At 44.6% G+C, this 25,099-nt stretch overlaps 1 protein-coding gene across 6 annotated transcripts in view, besides 1 other annotated feature; it reads right to left on the bottom strand.

The window, feature by feature from the left end:
- The window catches only part of AK5 (adenylate kinase 5), a 277,948-nt gene that overhangs the window by 5,519 nt on the left and 247,330 nt on the right, over positions 1 to 25,099 (bottom strand). For all 6 annotated transcript variants that reach the window (NM_174858.3, XM_005270739.6, NM_012093.4 and 3 more), the window contains one exon: positions 18,410 to 18,601. In NM_174858.3, the coding sequence (NP_777283.1) occupies positions 18,410 to 18,601 (192 nt within the window). The remainder of the gene's footprint in view (positions 1 to 18,409; positions 18,602 to 25,099) is intronic.
- Positions 550 to 844: a silencer, noted in NCBI's record as "tiled region #12904; K562 Repressive DNase matched - State 8:EnhW". NCBI's record gives its function as "represses a minimal TATA promoter and a strong SV40 promoter by Sharpr-MPRA in K562 cells {active_cell/tissue: K562}" and the evidence as "EXISTENCE:reporter gene assay evidence [ECO:0000049][PMID:27701403]".

Genomic DNA, 25,099 nt, shown 5'->3' with positions numbered 1-25,099 from the left:
GGACTGAACTAGGACTAGATAACCTCCAGGTCTGGTTCCAGCCTGGATGTTCTATGCTATTCCAAATCTGAGCTCACTTTTTAGTGGGGATGAGCTCCTCTCAGCAGGTGTCAGGATTGTTCAGTTTAGTTTGGTGTTGCCAGTTAAGCTCGGCCTAGAAGAATAGACATGTACTGGAAGATAATAAAGGTGGCAAAGGTGTAGAGATCTGAAAGCACATAGATTTTTCAGTGAACAGTGGGTCATTTGTTGAGGACAGAGCAAATGCTGCATGGGGTGATGGGGGCAGGCAGATAAAAAGAGGAAGCTGGAAAAATAGGTTGGAATGAGGTGTCGCCATAGATTTGCCTACTCAGGACATTTTATATCAATGAAATCACACAATATATGGTCTTTTGTGACTGGTTTCTTGGCATAATGTTTTCAAGGTTCGTTTATGTTGTAGTGGATATCAATACTGTATTCCTTTTTATTGCTGAATAATGCTATGCTGCATTTAACCCGAATGTTCCAAACATGCCTTGGGATGTCTGCCTTCCTCATCTCTTTTCAGCAAATCTGTTTCTGCCCACAGCCCACTATACAGTCACCTGAGCTCGCCTTATCAAACGCTGGGAGGAGGGAGGAAAGGAAGGGGTTGCTAACTCACATTCCCGCCCCTTCTCAAGTTTCCTCCCCTGTAGCAGGGACGGGTAAGAAGGTGTAAATCCACAAACGCTTGATTTATTATTTACACTGTCCATGATCGTATCAGTGGAAAATGCATCAGGTCTGTCACTGGTCCCCAAGAAGTTCCATGAGGACAGACTCAAATACAACTCTTCTGTGCATAATGTAAGTTCTTCACCCTAGTGATCCAATTTTTTGTCTTTGGCACAAACACTGCCCCAAATCAGCTCCATATCTTCCCCAGAAGAGGAATATAATTAGCCTACGGAATGATCCCAAGTGACCATCTACTTCAAATGCATGTGAATTTTCTCACTACAATATCACTACCTAATTGAGGCACATGTGTAGTGGGACTTTTCAGCCTCAGTTACGCCCTCTGCTTCATCTGTACAAACCCAACTGTGTTCTAGGGCCCGTTCTTGTCCTCACCAAGTGGTAGATATTTTGCAGCATCTTCCTCATTATTTATCTGTTCTCCAGCCTCTTGCTGAATTCCACCAGTCCCTTGCATTTAACTGACTTAGCATGGTCTATTTCTGCTCCTTGGCCCTGAAACATTTCTCTCCTCCAATCTGTCTTCTGCAACCAATACTACTTAACATTCCCAACTTTATATATGATTTTCCAAATTTACCTTCTTTCCAAAAGAAAACCATACCTATGTTTCTCATACTCGTAATGTGTCTTTTAACACTATTAATATACAAATTTTTTAAAGAACCCCCTTTTTCTTTAAGAGGTAAGGTTTTGCTCTCTCACCCAGGCTGGAGTGCAGTAGTGAGATCATAGCTCACTGTAACCTCTAACTCCTGGGCTCAAGCAGTCCTCCTGCCTCAGCCTCCTGATTAGCTGAGACTACAGGCGTGTGCCCCCATGCCCAGCTAATTTTTTGTATGTTTTTGTAGAGATGGGGTCTTGCTATGTTGCCCAGGCTGGGCTTGAAGTCCTGACCTCAAGCAATCCTCCCACCTCAGCCTCCCAAAGTGCTGAAATTTTAGGTGTAAGCCACTGTGCCTGGCCAAGAACACATGCATTATGTTCTATTTCCTCTGTGTTTCATAATGGATAACTTGGTCATTCAACATAATGCCAGTGTTACACTCACATAAATTGGGTTGATCCTTGTCCAGGATTTCTTTTAGACTCTGATAAAAACACATTTGCTCATTACAACAACCTTTGAATGCACTCTATTACCTTCTGCCTTTTACTATCACAGTGAACTAAAGGCTCTTTCTGTATTACCTTCCCCACTGACTATCACAGTGGCCATTTACTTGTTGCAATTCACTGCAACATTTAACTTTTCACTTCTTGGCCAGATAAAACCCAGTCTTAACCCAAGTATTTGTATATTGTTAAAGAAAAAAAATGTTCAATGATTCTTGTTAAAGCACGGTAAGGGAGGCTTTATTGGGGACCATTACGATGGGTATAGGGACTACGGCAACAGAATTTTGCAGTGGGGGAGAGGGATGGGATTCAACTCTGAATACAGCGTGGGCAAGTGGGAATTTATAGTCAAAGAGCAGGCTGGGAGTCAGTGGATGGAAAATTACTAAGAGGTAATAACATCAGGAGTAAGGAAAGTTCTGGCTACACCGACCTAACAGGACTCTTGCTGAAGACAGACCAATATGATCAGACAGCACCTGGGGATGATGGAGGATGAGCACCCCAATCAGATATTCAGAGTAGGGGATCTTGCTAAAGTGATTTAGCAGAGTTCTTTGCTAAAACTGGGTTTTACGAGGAAGTGCACAGATGGGCCTAGGAGAAGGTTTAAGAGTTTGACTAAAGTTTGGTCAGCAGAGAACCTTTGTCAACATCCAGCTAGACAATAAGCTCCATGAGCACGAGGTCATTACTCAGTGTAGTATCCCCCCGTGCCTGGCTCTAGGTAGAAAGGCAAAAAACAAAAAAGGTAAACAAAAGAATGTATCCTCTATTCCCACATTTGCTCTTTCTTTCCTCATAGAAATGAACTGTTGTAGGGGAGGAAACATGTTCTTAGAGCCCATTTTCTGTAGTCTAGGCTTTATGGAAGGAGAAGGGATTCTGCCTTCTAAAAACAAGGCGACTTGGTTTCAGCACAGAGGACTCAGCACGCAGCACCTCAAGGGCAGTGCTAGTTACTTTCTGTCAATCAGGCCAGAGCTAATGTTTTGGGGAGAGCTGGGAAGGGTCCCAGAGCTCTCAGTGGACCATTGCCCACCTCTATTTCCAACCCCAATCCCCCTCCTCATTTTGTTGTGTGGCTTAAATATGGGGGTTTATTAATGAAATTAAAAACCTGCTTATTGCCAACCAGTCAGAGTCATGTACTGTAGTGCTTGCCCCTGTGGAGCCCAAAGATATGGGTAGGTTTAAAGACAAAATCAAATGATAAGGCTTTCTAGATGGGAAAAGCAGTCTTTTACTTGGGTGACTAGAAAACTCTGTGAAGTTATCTGGGATCCTCCTTAGGACCAAGATGCCAAGTTCTGAGAATAAAGTCAGTGAGGCAATTTCTGTTGTCTTATAGAAGGTGTGTGTGTGTGTGTGTGTGTGTTGGGAAAGGCCTGGATTTCTGAATGCATTTTTGTTTTGTTTTGTTTTGAGATGGAGTTTCGCTCTTGTCTCCCAGGCTGGAGTGCAATGGTATGATCTAAGTTCACTGCAACCCCCACCTCCCGGGTTCAAGCAATTCTTCTGCCTCAGCCTCCCGAGTAGCTGGAATTACAGGCATGTGCCACCACGTCCAGCTAATTTTTGTATTTTTAGTAGAGACGGGGTTTCACCATGTTGGCCAGGCTGGTCTCAAACTCCTGACCTCAGGTGATCTGCCTGCCTTGGCCTCCCAAAGTGCTGGAATTACAGGTGGGAGCCACTGCCCCTGGCCTGAAGTGTATTTTTAAGGAGCAAAAGAGAGCCCAGTTGAATTGGGTGGGAACAAAACCTTTTATCTACTCTCCAAATTTCTCCTTTCATTCTACAGGTTAGCTCGACTCTTCCTAAGTCTCAAAGTAGATTCTCTTTGCTCATCTAATTCCCATGTGGAGAGTATTTTAAGAGAATAAGTGGCATTTATCTTTTTGTATATAACTGCAACTCAAAAGAAATGGAAAAGAACCAATTTACTAAATGCTTTCAAAGTTACAGGAACTTTTCTTCGTGCTTAGAGCTTTAGCAAATTTAAACCAGTTAGCTTATAAGGGTGCTGGTGTTTAATGTCCTTAGCAAACAGAGAACAATCCTGCACAATCAGCTTACTGACTGTTTTCTGTGAATGAGACTTCCTCAGTAATTGTGTAAACTTAAAAGTAATACGTCCTGCAATATAGGGTGTGTTTCCTCTATAATCAATTATTATAATATTAATTTATAGTAACCCTCTTTTATCATGAACAGTCAAAAGTAAGTTTCATCGTGACCTTTCTCCGAAAGATCTGCAATTCTGAGTCAGCAAAATCAGAATGTATGAGGTCTTAATGTATTTAATTTAGTTAGAAACTAGGTAAGTAGATTTGCTTCTGACTTCAAGAATTTACCAGCTGGATGGAATGGCTCACGCCTGTAAACTGCCCATGCTTTAGGAGGCTGAGGTAGGAGGATTGCTTCAGCCCAGGAGCTCGAGACCAGCTTGGGAAATACAGTGTCTCTACAAAAATAAAAAAATTAGCTAGGCACATGCCAGTAGTCCTAGCTACTGGAGAGGCTGAGGTGAACGATGGCTTGAGGCCAGGAGTTCAAGGCTAAAATGAGCTGTGATGGAGCTACTGCACTCACTCCAGCCTGGGCAACAGGGTAAGACCTTGTCCCTTAAAAAAAAAAAATAAATAAATAAAAGAGGCTGAGGTGGGAGGGTCACTTGAGCCTAGGAGGTTGAGGCTGCAGTGAGCCATGATTGTGCCACTATACTCCAGCCTGGGTGAAAGAGTGAGATCCTGTCTCAAAAAAAGAAAAAAGAAAATGTGGTACACATACATGATGGAGTACTATTCAGCTATAAGAAAGAATGAGATCCTGTCATTTGCAACAACATGTATGGAACTGGAAGTCATGTTAAGTGAAATAAGCCAGGCACAGAAAGACAGACTTCGAATGTTCTCACTTATTTCTGAGAGCTAAATATTAAAGCAATTGAACTCATGGAGACAGATAGTAGATTGATAGTTACCAGTGTCTGGGAAGGGAGAGGGGGAAGTGGGAATGGCTAATGGATACAAAAATTTAGGTAGATAGAATGAATGTGATCTAGTATTTGATAGCACAAGAGGGTAACTCTAGTCAACAATAACTTATTGTACACTTAAAAATAACTAAAAGACTATAATCGGATTATCTATAACACAAAGAAAGGACAAACGCTTGAGGTGATAGATACCTCATTTACCCTGACGTGATCCTAACATACTGCATGCCTGTATCAAAGTAGCTTACGTACCCCATAAATATATACACCCAATATGTACCCACAAAAGTTAAAAGTTTTAAGGAAGAAATAAACATAAAAAAAAGAATTTACCATTTTTGGTCTGAGACATGATATAAAAATCCCACAGTAAGTGATGTTCTGACCAGTGTAGCAAAATATTATTTTATTAAAAAGCTAAAAGCAGGCCAGGCACGGTGGCTCATGCCTGTAATCCCAGGACTTTGGGAGGCCGAGGAGGGCGGATCACCTGAGGTCAGGAGTTCAAGACCAGCCTGGCCAACATGGTGAAACCCAGTCTCTACTAAAAATACAAAAAGTAGACGGGTGTGGTGGCAGGTACCTGTAATTCCTGCTACTCGGGAGGCTAAGGCAGGAGAATCGCTTGACCCCGAGAGGCGGAGGTTGCAGTGAGCAGAGTGACAGAATGAAACTCAGTCTCAAAAAAAAAAAAAAAAAAAAAGCTAAAAGCAAGTGAACAGGAAATAGTAAATTTCTGAGCTTTTACCTGACTTCTTGAAGGAAAAGTAGAGCAGTCAGTGATAATATTTCTACCCAACAGTCAACAGAACATATGACTAAATGAGGAAAGCAATTACACTGCTTTGGGAATTACACATTTTGTTTACTCTTCCTCTTTAGTTCCATGGATTTGTAAATCATAAAACAGTTGGCTGGTCCAAACATTGCCTATGTCTAGTTGTGTTTTTCCTGAATTTTCCCAGACAGTTGAAACCATTGCTTGAGTTTCATTTTATTTTTCATGTATTGGCACCATGGAACCTCTGGGACAAAGCCAAGCTGTTACAGCATGGTTTAGGATCACGGTCTGTGTGCCAGCACCTTCCTTTTCTAATCTTGTCCCCTGTTAAACAAGACACAGCCTCACACCACAGGGATCCCTCACTGCCAGAGGATAACAGCAGCGGCTCAGCAAGGTAGACCTCAGTGTGCAGAACCTGGGCATGATCTGGGGAAAATCATCAAATGCAGTTTTCAAAAGTTGGGGTTATGTAAAAGACTGCTCATGGGGGTCATCCAGTTCACATATCCAGTCAGGCCACACAGTTCTCCTCGTTATCAAAGCCATAGAAAGAAGGAGGACTATATATACATTGACTGTAGAGAGATTTAAGGACAAACTTCAGCAAAAATATAAGGATGACTTATAATCAGCACATTAATGGCCTGTCTATAAATAGGACTTCCCATAGTACGTGCAGTCTGTCCACTTAAACGTTTTAAGTAACTGTTTTTCCTTTTCTCTTCCTCTCCATTCTGCCTAAAGTTTTGAATAACATCTTTTAGCAGATATGAAAAAAAATCATCCTTTCTAAAAATGACCTCTCTAAAACACCTGCTCAATCATTTTCCTGTTTAAAGTTACTCAGTGCTTCCCTCCTAGAACTGAGTACTTTCAGTATTCAGTCCAAACATCCTTGGGTAGTCTAGAACTATGCAATATGGTAGCCCCTAGCCACACGTGGTTTCTGGGCACTTGAAATCTGACTAGCACAAGAAAGGAACTGATTTTTAATACTGTTTAATTAAAATTAATCTAAAATTTAAACCTGGCATTTGATCCAATTTTTGGAAAATTAAGAACTATATTTGGAATGACTTGGGTATGTGAAATCTACTTTTCAACTGTAAATTTTATGAAATATAAATATAGTTCCAGTATTTTTTATGGAAACTTAGCAACTAAATTTGAGGTAAAGCCCTAAGTACCAGATTTTGAATACATAGTTCATAAAAAAAATGTAAAAATATTTCATTAAGAATTTTATGGCTGGGTACAGTGGCTCATGTCTGTAATCCCAGCACTTTGAGAGGCCGAGGCGGGCAGATCAAGAGGTTAAGAGATTGAGACCATCATGGCCAACATGGCGAAACCCCGTCTCTACTAAAAATACAAAAATTAGCCACACATGGTGGCACACACCTGTACTTCCAGCTACCTGGGAGGCTGAGGCAGGAGAATCACTTGAACCCAGGAGGCGGAGGTTGCAGTGAGCTGAGATCGTGCCACTGCACTCCAGCCTGGTGACAGAGTGAGACTCTGTCTCAAAAAAAAAAAAAAAAAAAAAGAGAACTTTATATTGATTACATGTTGAAATGATACTTAGGATATATTAGGTTAAATAGTTAAATAAAATATATTGTTAAATTAATTTCACCTGTTTCTTTTTACTTTTGTTTATGTGACTACTATAAAAGTTTAAATTATACATGTGGCCCACATTCTATTTCTTTTGACAGTGCTGATCTAGCAAATTTACTGAATGCAGGAAGAATGAATAAATGAATGGATTCAAAGCCCTTCACCACTTGCTTCAATCTTGCTCTTTAGTCTCATCTGCCACGACTTTAATTCATCTATTTGGCACTTCATCTGGGCCAGCATTCCTGGCGCTTTCACGTGTCAGTGGCTTTGTTCCTTCTCCTTCATCTGGCTTGAGTTTCTCTTCATCCTTTAGGACCCAGCTCAAATGTCCTCTTTTCTCTGAAGCATTTACTTGCCTTCCCAGGCCCGAGCTCTGTGCCCCAAAGGCCTGGAGCATTCTGTAGATCCTATTATGGCACCTACTACTTCGCTGGGGTTTCATGTGTCACAGAGTTTCACAAGTCTTTTTTGTTTTGTTTTGTGTAGAGACAGAGTCTCACACTGTCGCTCAGGCTGGAGTGCAGTGGCGCGATCTCAGCTCACTGCAGCCTCTGCCTCATGGGTTCAAACAATTCTTGTGCCTCAGCCTCCCGAGTAGCTGGGATTACAGACGCACACCACCACACCCATCTAATTTTTGTAATGTTAGTAGAGATGGAGTTTCACCATGTTGGCCACACTGGTCTCAAACTCCTGACCTCAAGAGATCTGCCCTCCTCGGCCTCCCAAAGTGCTGGGATTACAAGCACATGTCTTTTTCCTATGAATTCCCAACATTAAGTGGCATGCCTTGGACCTTAGAGATGCCCAGTAAATGTCTGCTGAGCATGTCAAAGACCTTACATAGAATGGTGCCAATTCTTTGCTGGTAGAATTCATGTCAGTGACTCTGGGAGGGGTTCTGAGTTAAAGTGGACCTCAGTGAAGGGGGTGCCCTAACATGGGCAAAGGCAAAATCTGCTATGTGATTATAGCAACCACAGAGGAAGAAATCAAGAGTGTGTACAGATGAGTCAAAAGGGCCTGGAATTCTCTTCTGCTTGCTGTTTGGGGAGGAGACACACACGCAGCAAGCACAACTCATTTCAGCAGGACCGCAGGGGTGCAAACAGTATTGCATCGAATCAAAACGTCTTTGCGGGAATCTGGTGAAGGTCTGACAATCAGGAAGGAAAGGGGGTGGAGAGAAGACTATTTTAAGCAGAGTCATAAAGAAAAAGTCTCTTAAGTCTCTCAGAGCCAGATGGAAGACTTATGCTTCATTTGTCAAGTGAGAGGATAGAACCTTAGGGTTCCTCTAAGTCACTCTCTCCTTCAGGCACACCTTTCTCTTCACTGCACCAGCAGGAGGGAGGGCTGTATCTAAATCTAGGTTTCTAGTTGTCAACCAAGGCAGGCCCAGATGAAATGCAGGGACGCTTCAGACTTGAAACTGATAGGCACCCCCAGTGAAGGTGGGGCACTGCTAAAAGAGGCTAAGCATCAAGGAGCTGGGAAATTCCAAAGCTCCTTGTTTTACTTGTTATACTTCAAAGAACTCTTCCCAGGGCAACATGGAGAGCCAGGGGAGTAGAAATGAATGAGTTAAAAAAAATCAGCCTTTGCTTAAAATAGCTCAGCAGTCGCTCCTACTAGAAAAAAATCTAATTAAGCATGTCTTTCCACTGCATCGTTGTTAGTAGTAGGTAAAAACAACCAAACTGAACTAGAAACAACCTAGTTGAATAAACTGTAGAATATCTATATTGTGGCATATTATATAGCTATTAAAAAGAAAACAATATTGTGATGTGTTAACCTGGAGGTGTTTCACAGAAATGCGTACAGCTTGGGAGTATTTGCATGAAATCAGCCCTCCCCCACCATGGTTGTGTGTGTGTGTCTGTAGTAAAAAGTTTGATTTCAGAGAGAAAGAATGAGGGGCTGGAGGAAAGAAGAAAAGAAAGAGAGAAAGAGAACAGAAGGAGGAGGAAAAGGAGGAAGTGAGGAGAGGTGGAAGGATACACAATAAGCTGTTCACATTGGTTACTTGAGGGAGGCAAGGTTGTGAAGGGCATTGTTAATTGCGGGCGTGTGGGTATATATAGTCATGCACTGATAACAATGTTTTGGTCAATGACAGACTGCTTATACAATGGCAGTCTCATAAGATTATAATGAAGCTGAAAATTTTCCAGCGCCTTGTGATGTGGTAGCCATCACAATGTCACAGCGCAATGGATTACTCACATGTTTGTGGTGATGCTGGTGTAAAGAAATCCACTGTGCTGCCGGTGTTGGAAAAGTATAGCACGTACAATCACGTAAAGTACGCAATGCTTGATAATGACAATAAATGACTATGTTTCTGGTTTATGTATTTCCTATATTATACTTTCAATTATTATTTCAGAGTGCATTTTTTCTACTTGTTAAAAAAGAGCTAACTGTCAAACAGCCTCAGGCAGGTCCTTCAGGAATGTTCCAGAAAAAGGCCTTGTTATCAAAGCAGACGACAGCTCCATGCATGTTACTGCCCCTGAAGACCTTCCAGTGGGCAAGATACGGAGGTAAAGACAGTGGCATGATGATTCTAACCCTGTGTAGGCAGGCCTAGGCGAATGTGTGTGTCTCCATCTCAGTTTTTAAGAAAAAAAGCTTAAAAAGTAAAAAAAAAAAGACTTTTTTTAAAATAGAAAAAAACATAGAATAAGGATATAAAGAAAAAATATTTATGTACGTCTGTACAATGTGTTTGTGTTTTAAACTAAGTTCTATGAAACGGTCAAAAGTGAAAAAATTTTAAAAGCTTATAAAGTAAAAAGGTTATAGTAAGCCAAAGTTATTATTGAAGAAAGAAAAATATTTTACAAATGTAGCATAGCCTAACTGTACAGCATTTATAAAGCCTACAGTAGTATACAGTAACATCCTAGGCCTTCACATTCACTCAGTGACTCATCCAGAGCACCTTCCAGTCCTGAAAGCTGGATTCATGGTAAACACTCTATACAGCAAGTTTACCACTGAAATTTTTTATTCTGTATTCTTACTGTATCTTTGCCATATTTTGATATGTTTAGATACACAAATGGTTACCATTGTCTTACAATTCCCACAGTATTCAATACAGTGACAGGCTGTCGTGTGTAGTAGGCTATACCATCTAGGTTTGTGTTAGTACACTCTCTGATGTTTGCACAATGACAAAATTGCTTAATGATGCATTTCTCAGATCGTATCCTTACTGTTAAATGATGCATGACTGTGTGTGTGTGTGTGTGTGTGTACTCTCACATACACACATAAATATATACAGTCTACTCTCTGTATCCAAAGTTCTGCACCTGCAGATTCAACTAACCGGAGATGGAAAATATTCCCTCCATTGTCCCTGCTCTTACCTCGCATGGAATCTGGCCAGCATCCCAATACAGCTTCCCAGCTTCCTACGAAAATACTCCTGAAGACCCCCATAAATGAGAATAGTCACAAGAATTCTGAAAACTTGGACTGCTCCCTATCGCCAGTGGTTCATGTCTATGGTCCCAGCTACTTGAGAGGCTGAAGTGGGAGTATTACTTGGGCCCAGGGAAGTTGAGGCTGCAATGAGCCGTAATTGCACCACTGCAAACCCGACTAGGCAACACAGAGAGACCCTGTCTCAAAACAAACAATAAAAAAAAAATAGAGCAATGTTTACTGACTTTTGGTAGAAAAATAATTATTATGACTTAAATTATGTCCAGTCAAACTGTCATTTGTGTGTGAAGCCACTATAATGGCATTCTCAGATATTCAATGAGAAATTGAACTCAAAATTAGTTGAGTTACTTTAGCCAACTGAAAGAAGAATCAAAATTAAGAATTTAGTACAGAGAATTCAAGGTATACAAGTAATTTTGGGTTTTCCTTTACTTGTGTTAGACTCCAAACTTGGGGATCCAGTCAGTTATGAATTACCCAGTAGATTTTGCAACCAAGCGGTGAAATGTGACCTTATGGTACCTTCTGCTTCCACTTTCCTCAGTAATACCAGAAACTGCAGAAACTTCTCACTCTTCTTGCCTCAATTCATAGGGCTTCTCCTGACAGCATGGTGACCAGAACAATGTGGACCATTGCATTTCAGGACCTAATGGAAACGGTCAAACTATTTACAAAGTTGAGACACTGCAGCAGCAGAATTGCTGAGGAAAAAAGCTTATTATCTCCTCTACAAAAGCAGAGTTGCCAAGGAACTTGATTGTCTGTCTGCAAAACTCATGTTTAATGAGTCACTGGGCTCTCTTTTTATTTTTTTAATCAGTTAAGAGTAGCAAATAACGCAGGGACAGAAATAATCTGTTACCAGGCCCTCTTCATCTATGGCCTGGGGTGTTTCTGGGCTAATTATGCCATGAACAAAATGTATATAAAAATGGAAAAAAACCAAAATGTACGGAAATATATCATAATGTTCATTGGTGATTATCTTTGGGTGGAATAATTCTCAATAATTTTAATGTTTACCTTTATAGTCTTAAATTTTCTAGTTTGTTTCTTTTTTAAACAATGTGTAGTTGTTACTTATACTTAGGAAAAAAAGAGGCTTTAAATATCATTTGATACAATTCTGCCTATGCCACTTGAGATAGCTATTTCTGTGGTTTCTCTCAGCTCACAACGAGCCCTTCTCTCTGGGTATTCCTTGTCCTCCATCTGCTTCACAGGGAAGAGTCCCAGGTAACCATGTTTATATCAGTCAGGTCCTAATTCAAATGCTACCTCCTCAGACTTTCCAAACAGCTGCCCACAGTGCTCACTCCCAACAATGCATTCTGTTTTGTTTTATCCACAGAACTTGTTAGTGGTTGCTTTATTTTCTTGTATACGGTTTTGCTCTTTTTTTTTGAGACCGAGTCTCGTTTTGTCATCCAGGCCAGAGTGCAGTGGTGTGATCTTGGCTTACCGCAACCTCCGCCTCCCAGGTTCAAGTAATTCTCGTGCCTCAGCCTCCTCAGTAGCTGGGATTACATATGCGCACCACCACGTCTAGCGAATTTTTATATTTTTAGTAGAGACATTTGCCATGTTGGCCAGGCTGGTCTCGAACTGCCGACCTTGTGATCTGCCTGCTTTGGCCTCCCAAAGGGCTGGGATTACAGGTGTGAGCCACCGTGCCTGGCCTGTTTTTCTCTTTTCAGTGAGGGGCTTTGTCACGTTGACTGCTGTGTCCCCAGCACCAAGTGTCGTGTCCCACACATACCATATGCACTCAATAAAGTACAGAAAAAAATAAAAAAGCCCCCTGTGACCCCAGCTGCCTGTCCACAGCTAAGAGAGCCAAGGAGACCCTGAGCAAAGCAAGGCCAACCACATCATTTCTCTCAGGAATCTGGAGCTGGGAATCAGAGTGCCGTGGTAATGTGCAAATGCGAAAGCTGTCAGGTGGGCATATTCTGGCTTATAAGCCAGAGAAAGAAAAAAAACCCAGCTTAGAGAGAAGGAAACGGTGTTTGTGAAGCAGTAGGGAGCACTGTGAGCCTTTTAGGCCTGATCCCACACGCCTTCTAGGGCCTGCTGTGCCTCAGCCTTGAGTCTTCTAACCTTATAATGAAGTTCTGTGTTTCAGGTTAGGCCAGCGGGAGTTGGCACCTGCTACCTACAACCACAGAGTCTGGCTCAGTATTACCTACAATCACAATCATGTTTTTAAAATTCACAGCAAAAAGATGTGGTGAAAACGCCCCACAATGTTTGCCTCTGAGTGGTGGGACTACCTAGTTTTCTACATTTTCTTTGTTTCTTTTTTCTTTTTTTGGAAACAGGATCTCGCCAGTTGAGTGCAGTGGCACTATCTTGGTTCACTGCAGCCTCAACCTCCTGGGCTCAAATAATCCTCCCACCTTAGTCCCCTGAGTGGCTGTGACCACAGATGTGTTCCACCACGCCTGGCTAACTTTTGTATTTTTTGTAGAGATGGGTTTTGCCATGTTGCCCAAGATAGTCAAGAACTCCTAGGCTCCTGGCTGGGCGTGGTAGCTCACGCCTGTAATCCCAGCACCTTGGGAGGCCAAGGCAGGCAGATCACAAGGTCAGGAGTTCGAGACCAGCCTGGCCAACATAAGAGAAACCCCATCTCTAATAAAAATACAAAACATTAGCTGGGTGTGGTGGTGGGTGCCTGTAATCCCAGCTACTCATGAGGCTGAGGCAGAAGAATGGCTTGAACCCAGGAGGTGGAGGTTGCAGTGAGCCAAGATTGCGCCATTGCATTCCAGCCTGGGTGACAGAGCGAGACTCCATCTCTAAAAAAAAAAGAAACAAACAAAAAAAAACTCCTAAGCTCCAGTGACCCACACTCTCCTTGGCTTCCCAAACTGCTGTGATTATAGACATGTGCCACCACACCTGACCAGTTTTCTATATTTTATAAAGCAAGTATGTGTTACTTTTATAATAATAGACTTGGTCAATTCTAGTAGATCGTGTTCTATCCACTTTAGGAAGAAGAACTGAGAGGTGAAGCAGTAAAATGACTCACCGAAGTTGATGAAAGTGTGCCTGGGGCTTTCTGATGCACAGGCCCATATTCCCCCCGCCATCCCCCAGGGAGTCTTTGGCTGGTAACTGTGCTTTTCATCCCCAAATGCTACATTTCAGTTACTTATGGCCATAATAAATTATCTCACTAAGGTGAAAGAAAACTTCTTCTTGTAGGCTAATTCTAGTCAGTTGGGGGTGATGGTCCATACGGCTGTGTTGAGCAAGTTTCTGAGACAGCATTCAGACTTGGTAGGAAGTGCCATGACTGGCGAACGCTGCCTGGCCCAAGTGTAGTGAGGTGGGGAATGAAATGGAGGAAAGTTCTGTTCTAATTCTTTCTCAGATGCAGGGCAAACCTCTGCTTTATGAGAGGGAGAAAAACAGGCAGAAAGGGATACACCTGTATCACATGTACTTCCATCTCTGGTGTGCACGTTACAAGAAGTTCTAACTTTATTGTACAAGGATGGCATTATGATGACATAAAGAATAAGGGAGTGGCTGTATAAATTCTGCTTTGCTTTAAAAATTATCTTTGTTTGAAATTTTGCTGCACTTTCCTTAGCTAGCTGGTGGCCAAAGGGCTGACTTGTCATGGAGTGGGGGATGGAGGGTGTCAGATGATGGGTTCAATGTCAGCATTGCTGGGTAGAGGCCTGAGGGCGGTGCTTGTGGCCTATTTGTGGGCTGCATGGGTTGGCCCCCCCTGTGGCTTTAATTCCTAAATAAATCTCACAGAACTGCTGATTCATCTCACTTGCTTTCTTGAAGTGCATTCACCAGCCCCACCTAGTTTTAAGAAAGCTCCTTAAGTGACCCAGAGGTCCTCTTGGGTGAGCAGCCCTGTCTTGGGTCCAGTAAAACAACAGGGAGGAGGGGCAAACAATCCAAACAGCATCACAGGAGCAGGCCACAAGCTGTTACTTAGGAACCAAGGGAGATTAAGCTGATGCAGGAGGACTGGGCAAAAACCCAGAGGCCAGACAACAGAGTGGGCCAGTGGCTTTCTCCCTCTCCAGCGGCAAACAATCCTGTCCCCTCCCCTGCTTCTCCTGCAGTCCCCGCTCTTGTCACCCTAGCTACTGGCAAACCCCACGGGTACCTGCAGACAAATCTCAGCTTCCTGGGCCCAGCACACACTGTTTCTATGCTAGGTGTGTAGGGAGGACTGTTCATCTTTGCAGCTGTGTGGGTAGGGGATGGCCCTGGGCAGGGGCAGTGGGATGAAGCAGCCTCCCTGAGACTCTCTGGGAGTCCTGAAGGCTGAAGCTCACGCTGCTCTGCAGTCCGGGCTGGAGAGGTTTTACATATTTGTGCAGTGGATCATAATGTTACCTCACCACGCACCCAGCAGCCAGCATCTCCAAAATGCAGGGGAAGTTGAAGAGATGAGCCAGGGGACTGCAAACCTCTTTTCCACCATTAAATAAAATTTGTAGGAGGCCATTGGTTTGGACTAGGCTCCCGTTCTGGGCCCAACAGGCCGAACCAACGTGGAGTCATCCGTGCTAAATGAAACAAACAACTTGGATGTACACACTGTAACAGATGGCTGAGTTTTGGTAGTTCCAGCAGCTGAGCTTAAGTCAATAGTAGGTAGCCAGCTGATTCACATAAGGCTGTAACTAATTAACCTCAGTTCCTCACTTCTGTTTTCTAAACATAAATATTGCTTGACCATGTGGCTTATTCTTCAAACATTTTTCTGGTCCTGAGGTCTGCCCAATTCTAGAATCATGAATAAAAGCCAATGAAGATCTTTAAATGTGTTGTAATCTGGTCTTTTGGACACCACTAACTTAGAAAGCTCTAAGGAAGATTCCAGAAATCAGATTTGTCTGAGAACTCAACCCTGTACTCACGAGCAGTCATTTGTGAGTTTGTAGAATTCAGGTTGGAATAATACAACAGAGAGCTAAGAGGGATTTTCCAACTCTAAAAGTGGTTAAATCCTGAATTACTTAGGAATTTTCCCACCTTTACAAATCTTAAAAGTGGAAGAAATACCTTTCTTTTTTTTAATTTTTTTTTTTATTTTTTGAGACAGGGACTCTCTGTCACCCAGGCTGGAGTGCAGTGGTGTGATTTCAGCTCACTGCAACCTCTGTCTCCTGGGTTCAAGCAATTCTTCTGCCTTAGCATCCTGAGTAGCTGGGATTACAGGCACGCGCCACCACACCAGGATTTTTTTTTTTTTTAATGTTCCAGGCTGCTCAAAAGGTGGAAATCACTAGACAATCTAATTTTGGAAAGGCCTTTGCAGCCCTGAATTCTTAAGACATTGCTCTTATATAACAAAAACACTTTTGTTTATGTTTTTTTTTTTTGTTGTTGTTGTTGTTTTTTTTTGAGAGACAGTCTTGCTCTGTTGCCCAGGCTGGAGTGCAGTGGTGCGATCATGGCAAACTGCAGCCTTGACCTCCCAGGCTCAAGTGATCCTCCCATTTCAGTCTCCCAAGTAGCTGGGACTGCAGGCATATACCACCAAGTCCAGTTAATTTTTGCATTTTTTGGAGAGACAGGGTCTCGAAATGTTGCCTAGGCTGGTCTTCAAACTCCTGGACTCAAGTAATCCTCCTGTCTTGGCCTCCCAAAGAACTGGGATAACGGGTGTGAGCCATTGCACTTGGCCCTGTTATTAAAGATCGAAGTCTTTATTTTTAAAATGTGGCAGCCAGAGGTTATATAAAGCACAACAAATAAGTCTCAGGTTGCACATCAAGTCCTATTAATTGGCAGTAGCTGCCTGGAGTGCTGTGTTGACAAACATTCTCAGGCCACACCTGCTGACTGAGAAACAGTGCTGGGATCAACTAGCAATGGCCATGGATGTGGAAGTAGGGGATTATGTCTCTCATGCCACATATTTGACACTCAGTTAAATGCAGAGGCATCTTTCAGACTTCTATACCCAGTGTTTCTTAGGATTCTGGAAAGCGGACCATTAACAGAGTTAGAAGATAAGAATTCATTATCAATGGTTTTCCCCCAAGGAATCAGTAATGTAGCTTCCTCAGAGACAAGTTTGTTATTTATTGATGATGTCTCTTATCCTGTGAACAGCAAGAGATCCCACTCTCCCTTCTCCAGTTCGAGTACTCAGGATTTTGTTCCTGGACAAAAGCTCACTCTGTCATCCTTATGGATTTGTTCCTGGATACTGTTCTAGCCTCTCAGTGGTCTCCTAGCCTTACCTTCTTGCATCCATTCCCCATAAGGATGATGGATTGAGCTTTCTAGATTGAAATCCTGATTATTCCTGCCCCTTTGGTAGTTCCCATCACTCAGAGGACAATTATTTGCTCCTACATATGATCCATCTTGATCTAGTCCTTGCTTGCCTCTCCATCTCCATCTCTTAACCCTCTTTTCCTTGGCACTTTATGTCACAGCCTCGTGGAGTTACTTGGTTTTCCTGACCTTCTCCACTTGGGGCTTCTCTGGTGTGGCGTGCACCCCCGCTTCAGAGACTCAGCCGAGTCCTCCTCAGGCCACCTTCCTGGATCCTTTCCTTTCCCCTTACACTGGAGGAAAGGGCCCTTGCCACACATTCTGTGCTTGCTTTGATCTCATTGTGTGATCACACGTTTGTCTCTCTCTCCTACTGAAACCCTAAGCTTTGCAAGGATTCAAGAATCTTATTTATTTGCATCCAAACCACTAGTGCAATTGATGGACTATGGGTTCCTGATACATAGTTATGGGATGAGTGGAAGGATGAGGACTGGGCAGTTTTCCCAAATTCATAAAACTGATGGTGACTCAGCAGAGAGCTCATGATCACTAGGTTGATACACTCATTTCCTCACACTATCTTCATTGTTTTACTTAATTACCTGCTCTCCTGGCCCCATATGCAGCTTCTTCTAAAAATGTTGGTTATCACAAGAAATTGAGGCAAAGGAGCCAAGAGCCAATTGTGAACGATGTAAAATTATAGAAATTCAAAGTCATTGAATCTTAGCTCTAGTGAATAATCTCACAGTCCAGAGTCAGTGGCAGAGCCTACGTCTCATCTATGCCTCCCTCCCTCCCTGCCTTCTTCCCTTCCTCTCTCCCTCTCTCTCTTTTTTGGGAAAAAGGAGTTGTTTTCAGCAACTATAAGGGGATCTGTGAAAATTATATGACCACCTTTTTATGGTCTATATGACGACAGATATTTAATTTTGATTGAAATAGAAGTGAAGAGTAAGGGATTCATAATTTGGTCCAAATTCTTGTTGTTGTTTTCTTTGAGACAGGGTCTTGCTCTGTTGCCCAGGCTGGAGTGTAGTGGCACAATCTCAGCTCACTACAGCCTCCACCTCTGGGGCTCAAGCAATCCTCCCACGTCAGCCTCTTGAGTAGCTGGGATTATAGGCATGTGCCACCATACCCAGCTAATTTTTTGCAGAGGCAGGGGTCTCACTATGTTGCTTAGGCTGGTCTTGAACTCCTGGGCTCAAGCAATACACCCGCCTTGACTTCCCACAGTGTTGGGATTACAGGCATAAGCCACTGTGCTGGGCCTTTTGGCCCCAGTGCTGCAGCTGCACAGAGTTCTAATTCCCAGATCCCTTAACTAAAATGTTCTCAGCTTTTTCTCTTTTCTTGGAAAAAAAAAAAAAAGGTAAGCGGCTCATTTCAGAGGAGAAAGTGAAGTGACTCGCCTTGTGTAGCTGTGTTTTTGTCTCGTAGTAGGCGATCACGGGGATGGACGCTCGGTAGTAGGCTTCTAGGCGCTTGGCGATGGTCTTGGTGGTGTCGTCCACAGGCAGGCTGCTCCGGCTCCTTTGGAGAAGGCGGTTGGTCATGGTGTCTGCCGAGCAGTCCATACAGATCACCAACTGTGGGTCTCCAATCTGGAGATGGGAGTGGAGCACAACACAGTCAGAAACCTCACCCTGCTGATGTTCTGGAAAGGCCCAGGGCCTCTGGTTTTTCCTTTCTTGGCCTTCTGGTTCCCTTCAAGGTCCCAGCATTACACTATGGTGCAGCTGGGACTGGACTCCATAGCTCCCCCCTTCCAGGTCAGTTCCCTTCTACACACTGCCTCAGAGCTGTCTCTTGCCCTCAGCTTTTAGGCCACCTCACGTGATGCAGACGAGTATATGCCACCCACTGCAGCCACTGTCTGTCTTCTTCTGCACTGAGAAGAAAGGAGTATGTATGTGTGAGGGGGTGTTTCCTCTAATGTGAAGCCTTTCCTGACCACCTGAGGCACAGCTAATCACTTCTCCTTCAAGCCACCGTGATATAACAGCCACAGGTGGCATTCTGTGGCTGTGCCTGTACTGTGTCAGGTGAGTGGGGCATAATGCTTTAGCACACAGAGGCTGGAATCAGGCTGCTTAGGGTCAAACCCTGGTGTCATGACTTGTCTCCAGGATGGGCTTCATCAATTCGTTATCTCACTTTACTTGTAAGCTACTCTCCCACTGAGACACAGAAACACCTTGAATCTGACCTGTAACTATTTTGACCAACAGACTGTAGCGGAAATAATGTCCATGCTTTTAGAGTCTAGGTCACAAGAAAGTTTGCAGTTTCTGTCTGGTTTTGTGGAACACTTGCTGCAGTGGGGAGTCCGCTGCCATCTAAGATGTCCAACTATCCTGAGACTGCCAGGCTGAGAGGAAGCCCAAGTTAGCCATGTGGAGAGGCCATGTGGACGGAGATGCCCTACCAGCCCCCAACTGTTTTAGATATCCCAGCCCTGGCTCCAGACATGGATCTCAGCCCCAGCCACTGTCTGAGTGCAATTGCATAAGGAACCCCAAGTGAGAACCAGCCCGCTGAGCCCCATAACTTCCAGAACCACGAGAGATAATAACAAATTGTTCTTTAAAGTTTTTATTTTCTTTTCTTTTGTAAGAGATGGGGTCTCGCTCTGATGCCCAGGCTGGAGTGCAATGGCTATTCATGGCATAATTATAGTGCACTATACAGTCTTGAACTCCTGAACTCAAGTGATCCTCTTGCCTCAGCTTCCGGAGTAGCTGGGGCTACACACACATGCCACTGTGCCAGACTTACATATTGTTCATTTAAACTGACTTCCTCATTAACTAGAAGTCTGACTCAACTTCTCTGCATCTGAGTCTTCTCATTCATACAATGAGGATGATCATAGGATTGCTGTGAGGATGAAATAAAATTAAATAAGGTAACATACGTATGCTCCTTGGCATACAGCAGACACTCACTAACGATTCACTGTTACGCTTATTTCCTCTATGAGGCTTAGGTTCCCCGTGTGCAGGGATTAAGAATTCTCTGCTCCTAGTCCCAAGTCTTGCACACAGTAGGTGATGAAGAAATGTTTTAATGAATGAGTGATGGTGGTATGATCTGTGTTATGAGTCTCCCCATCTCCATATCCTTCTCTTAAATGTTCTTTTGTCTCTGGGACATGCTTACTTTGCATCCTCCTCCAACCCTGGATCAGAGGAAACCATTACTCCCCCTGACCTTGCCACATTCGAGCTGTGAGTAAATGAAGGCTTGCCACCACTGTAGAAAGTGTGTGGGGTGGGATGAGAACAAAGTTCAGTCAAGAAGAGGATGTTTAGGCAACACGGAGAACTCGTAATATCGTGAGTTGCCAGACAGTGTTGGTCAAACATTTATCTACCTCCTCTGAGGGGTGTACTTTAAGGAACAGAGTGGAAACATTCTCCAAAATCGACAACAGTGCAATAAACCTCTGGAATAGGTCATGCGACTTTTCTGTCTGTATTAATTGGAAGGAAAAAAAAAAAGAGCATTTGTGCAGCAAGAAAGGCTGGGTGAGGGTTTAGGAAAAAAATGACCCTTGTTCACCAGCAGAGGGCGAGCTTGGGAGGCGGCTTAATGTTCTCCCTGAAACAACTTTGGGTTAGGGTTGCATGAGACAGCCAGGCGATTTTTCCAATTGTGGGGTTATTTTCAGGCCATTTGTGGGGACAGGAAAGATAATTCAGGGACACAGGTACAAACAGAGATTATATGTCACTGAGCAGGAGCCGGCAGCAAATGACCTTTTAGACCAAAATAAGCACGGGGCAGAGAGGTAGCTTTTTCTTCCACACTGATTCCCAAAGTGTGGCCCACGGACCAGCAGCATGTCATTTGGAAGCTTGTTAGAAATATAGACTCTCAGGCACAACACGCGACCTGCTGAAGCAGAATCTGTTTTTTTTTTTTTTTTTTTTTTTTTTGGTGACAGAGTCTTGCTCTGCAGCCTAGGCTGGAGTGCAGTGATGTGATCACTGCAACCTCTGCCTCCCAGGTTCAAGCAATCCTCCTGTCTTAGCCTCCCAAGTAGCTGGGATTACAGGTGTGCACCACCACACCCGGCTAATTTTTGTATTTTTAGTAGAGACGGGGTTTCACCATGGTGGCCAGGCTGGTCATGAACTCCTGACCTCAAGTGATCCACCCACCTCAGCCTCTCAAAGTACTGGGATTACAGGTGTGAGCCACCGCACCCAGCCTAGAGTCTGCATCTTAACCAGATCCCTAAGTGAGTCTTCACAGCATCATAGTTTGAGAAGCTACTCTGACAAGCCATTTTCCTGTGCCAAAACTAGGGGGTTTGACCTAACCTCTCTCTCCTGGAATCAGCACTCTCTTCCTATATAAAAAGCTATCGATCAGTTATTCTATTTGGAAGTGACCTGAACCATTTGTTTTTAATACCTAAAATTTTTTGAAATGTTTCAATGAGATACCATCTAATTTTTTTCAAAATGCTTCGCTATGTATCATTAGAAAGTCCCTTGGAGTAGCTGTCTGGTTCCTAGCTCTGCTCTTGTTTTCACCGGACTGTGGTTAGTCTTCAACATCAAGTAAGCAGACGAGCAGAGAACTCTGCCCTTGGCTGAATGAATCAGAGACTTGGGGACATTGGCCTGCCCCCAACATCACCCTGCTGGCACCCTGGGGCTCTGGCACCAGCCTCACCGGATTCTCCATGGCCTTTGGTTTTCAGGGGACCTTAGTTAGAGCACAAGTGCCCTTGGAAGGGCTGCTGAGATGCCATCAGCAACATTTCAGCAGCTGGCTATGCTTCACTGTGCTAAGGGCTTTACAAACAGCCATCCCATAAGCCCTCTGGCGCTCTTGCCGGGAAGTATGATTATTCCCACTTTAAGGATGAGGAAATGGAGGCCCTCAGAGGTTAACCTTCCCAAGGTCACTAGGGACTAGTGAGTGACAGGCCTGAAGCAGATACATGTAACCCCAAAGCTTGGTGACCTCACCCTGATGGAGAGAGCCAACGCCTTCAGAATGAAGTTTGGGCAAGAAGCTGAGTGGGCCAAATGGAACCAGGAGAGGGGGGTGGGGCCGTGGGAAAGGGAGCGAGTGGGGTGGGGTGCCTACTCACTTATTTTATTTTTCAGAAGCTGCCTCTGCTGCCTCTTGGGATCTAGTGGGACTGAGAGGTGACAGCATGCTGGCAGCCCTCACAGCCCCCGCTCGATGTCAGCGCCTCCTCCGCCTTGGCGCCCACTCTGGCCGCGCTTGAGGAGCCCTTCAGCCCGCCGCTGCACTGTGGGAGCCCCTTTCTGGGCTGCCCAAGGCCGGAGCCGGCTTCCTTAGCTTGCAGGGAGGTGTGGAGGGAGAGGCGCAGGCGGGAACCGGGACTGTGCGCAGCGCTTGCAGGCGCGTGCGCAGAGCTCCAGGTGGGCGTGGATTCCGCGAGCCCCGCACTCGGAGCGGCCGGCCGGCCGGCCGGATGGCCGCAGGCAGTGAGGGGCTTAGCACCTGGGCCAGCAGCTGCTGTGCTCGATTTCTCGCCGGGCCTTAGCTGCCTCCCCGCGGGGCAGGGCTCGGGACCTGCAGCCCCCGCCATGCCTGAGCCTTCCCCCCCACCTCCCCCTGGTCTCCTGCGCGGCACCAGCCTCCCCGACGAGCGCAGCCCCCTGCTCCACGGCGCCCAGTCCCATCCACCCTGAGGAGTGCGGGCGCAGGGCGCGGGACTGGCAGGCAGCTCCACCTGTGGCCCAGTGCAGGATCCACTGGGTGAAGCCAGCTGGGCTCCTGAGTCTGGTGGGGACTTGGAGAACCTTTATGTCTAGCTAAGGGATTGTAAATACACCAATCGGCACTCTGTATCTAGCTCAAGGTTTGTAAACACACCAATCAGCACCCTGTGGATAGCTCAGGGTTTGTGAATGCACCAATCAACACTCTGTATCTAGCTACTCTGGTGGGGACTTGGAGAACCTTTGTGTCCACACTCTGTATCTAGCTACCCTGGTGGGGACTTGGAAAACTTGTGTCTAGCTCAGGGATTGTAAACGCACCAATCAGCACCCTGTCAAAACGGACCAATCAGCTCTCTGTAAAATGGACCAATCAGCAGGATGTGGGTGGGGCCAGATCCTAGCCTGCAGTGGCAACCCGCTGGGGTCCCCGTCCACACTGTGGAAGCTTTGTTCTTTTGCTCTTTGCGGTAAATCTTGCTACTGCTCACTCTTTGGGTCCACACTGCCTTTATGAGCTGTAACACTGCGAAGGTCTGCAGCTTCACTCCTGAGCCAGCGAGACCACGAACCCACCAGAAGGAATAAACTCCGAACACATCCGAACATCAGAAGGAACAAACTCCGGACACGCTGCCTTTAAGAATGGTAACACTCACCGCGAGGGTCCACGGCTTCATTCTTTAAGTCAGTGAGACCAAGAACCCACCATTTCCGGACACAGGACCACACTCATCCTTGCACCCCTCAGGGCATGAGGGCAGCCCACCAGCACAAGGACATGAGCATTGTGGACTGTGATCATGGTTTTGCTTTGGTCATTCCAGCAAGTGGAGCGGGAGGAGAAGTTTGCCCTCCTGCCCTCTGACTCCACCCCCACCTTAGTTTTCTTCTGATTAAGTCAGAATGGGGGTTAGGCCACGTTTACCAGTGGGCAGGAGCTCTCCATGCCATCCAGGAACTCTTTGTTGAGAATAACAACTATCTTATTCTTGGTGTATGCCTCAGTTTCCTCATTTAAAAATGAGGATAATAATAGTATTTGACTCACAGGACTATTGTGAGGGTTAAATGAGTTTGTACATGTAAAGCGCCTGACTCACTTCAAACACTACATAAATGGGAGCTAATGTTATTTAAGGTGGGCTTTGCAACATAGTCATCCTTTTGACCTGTAAAGTATCCCACTGGTCAGATTTAGGTCTAGAAAGAGTCAGCGGCCTCACTCAGGCTTTTAGCCTAAGTCGCATGCTACAGCATGTTTACCAGAGTCTCCCTGTGCTGGCAGGAAAGGGCCCTGGCTGAAAAGAAAGTGGCATGCCTATTTCTCATTTGCTCTCACCTTGAGGTATGTCCCCTTGGGGGAACCTCACTAGAGGAGGAATATCTGGGTCATTCCAGCATTCCTGAATACACAACCCTAATGATAGTAATACTACTCAATTGATATATAACTTCTCCCCCCACACACCATTACGCAGCTCTAAGTTCTGCAGTGAACCGGGAATCAGAAGAGAGCAGAAACATCTCAAGTGAAAAATCCTATGTGGCCTCCAGGGCTCCCCACAATTCTAAACAACTAGAACACACCAACTGGACATTCCCTTGGCCAGACTCAAACTTTGTGTATGTGTGCATATGTGCACGTGTGTGTGTGTTAAGAGCTCATTCTGAAGATTAGAATACACTTATAAACAGAAACACTGGTTCTGTCAATGAAGTGTCATGAGATAGTTGAGAGTAGTAAGGCAGAGGGATCACTGTGAAGCCATCATTCCCACCTCCACGAGAGTTATGTACATATTCTGGCTAAAGGCAGAATTTCAGCTAAGAGTCTTTTGGGAGGGAAAAGCCAAGAGCAAACCCATGCATTCTACTTCTATTAATATGACTTCTGTTAATATGACTTCCATTAATATGATTTCTGTTAATATGACTTCCATTAATATGACTTCTGTTAATATGACTTCCATTAATATGACTTTTGTTAATATGACTTCTGTTAATATGTGGTTAATTTGGCTGATGTTGAGTATGAGATTGGCTTAATACAGGAAAGCATTTCAATTTCACACCAGGGAGTCAGGCTAAGCACAGAGCCCTTCTCAAGATGGTAAGAATCTATAAAATGGCTCACGCCTATAGTCCCTGCACTTTGGGAGGCCGAGGTGGGCAGATCACGAGGTCAGGAGTTCAAGACTAGCCTGACCAACATGGTGAAACCCCATCTCTACTAAAAATATAAAAATTAGCTGGACGTGGTGGTGGGCACCTGTAATCCCCGCTGCTGAGGCAGGAGAATCACTTGAGCCCAGGAGGCGGAGGTTGCAGTGAGCTGAGATCACGCCATTGCACTCCAGCCTGTGGGACAGAGCAAGACTCCGTCTCAAA

Source organism: Homo sapiens, chromosome 1, assembly GCF_000001405.40.
Source record: "Homo sapiens chromosome 1, GRCh38.p14 Primary Assembly".
Lineage (NCBI taxonomy): Eukaryota > Metazoa > Chordata > Mammalia > Primates > Hominidae > Homo > Homo sapiens.
Note: the sequence above shows the minus strand (reverse complement) of the source record. Positions and strands in the feature narration are given on the sequence as shown.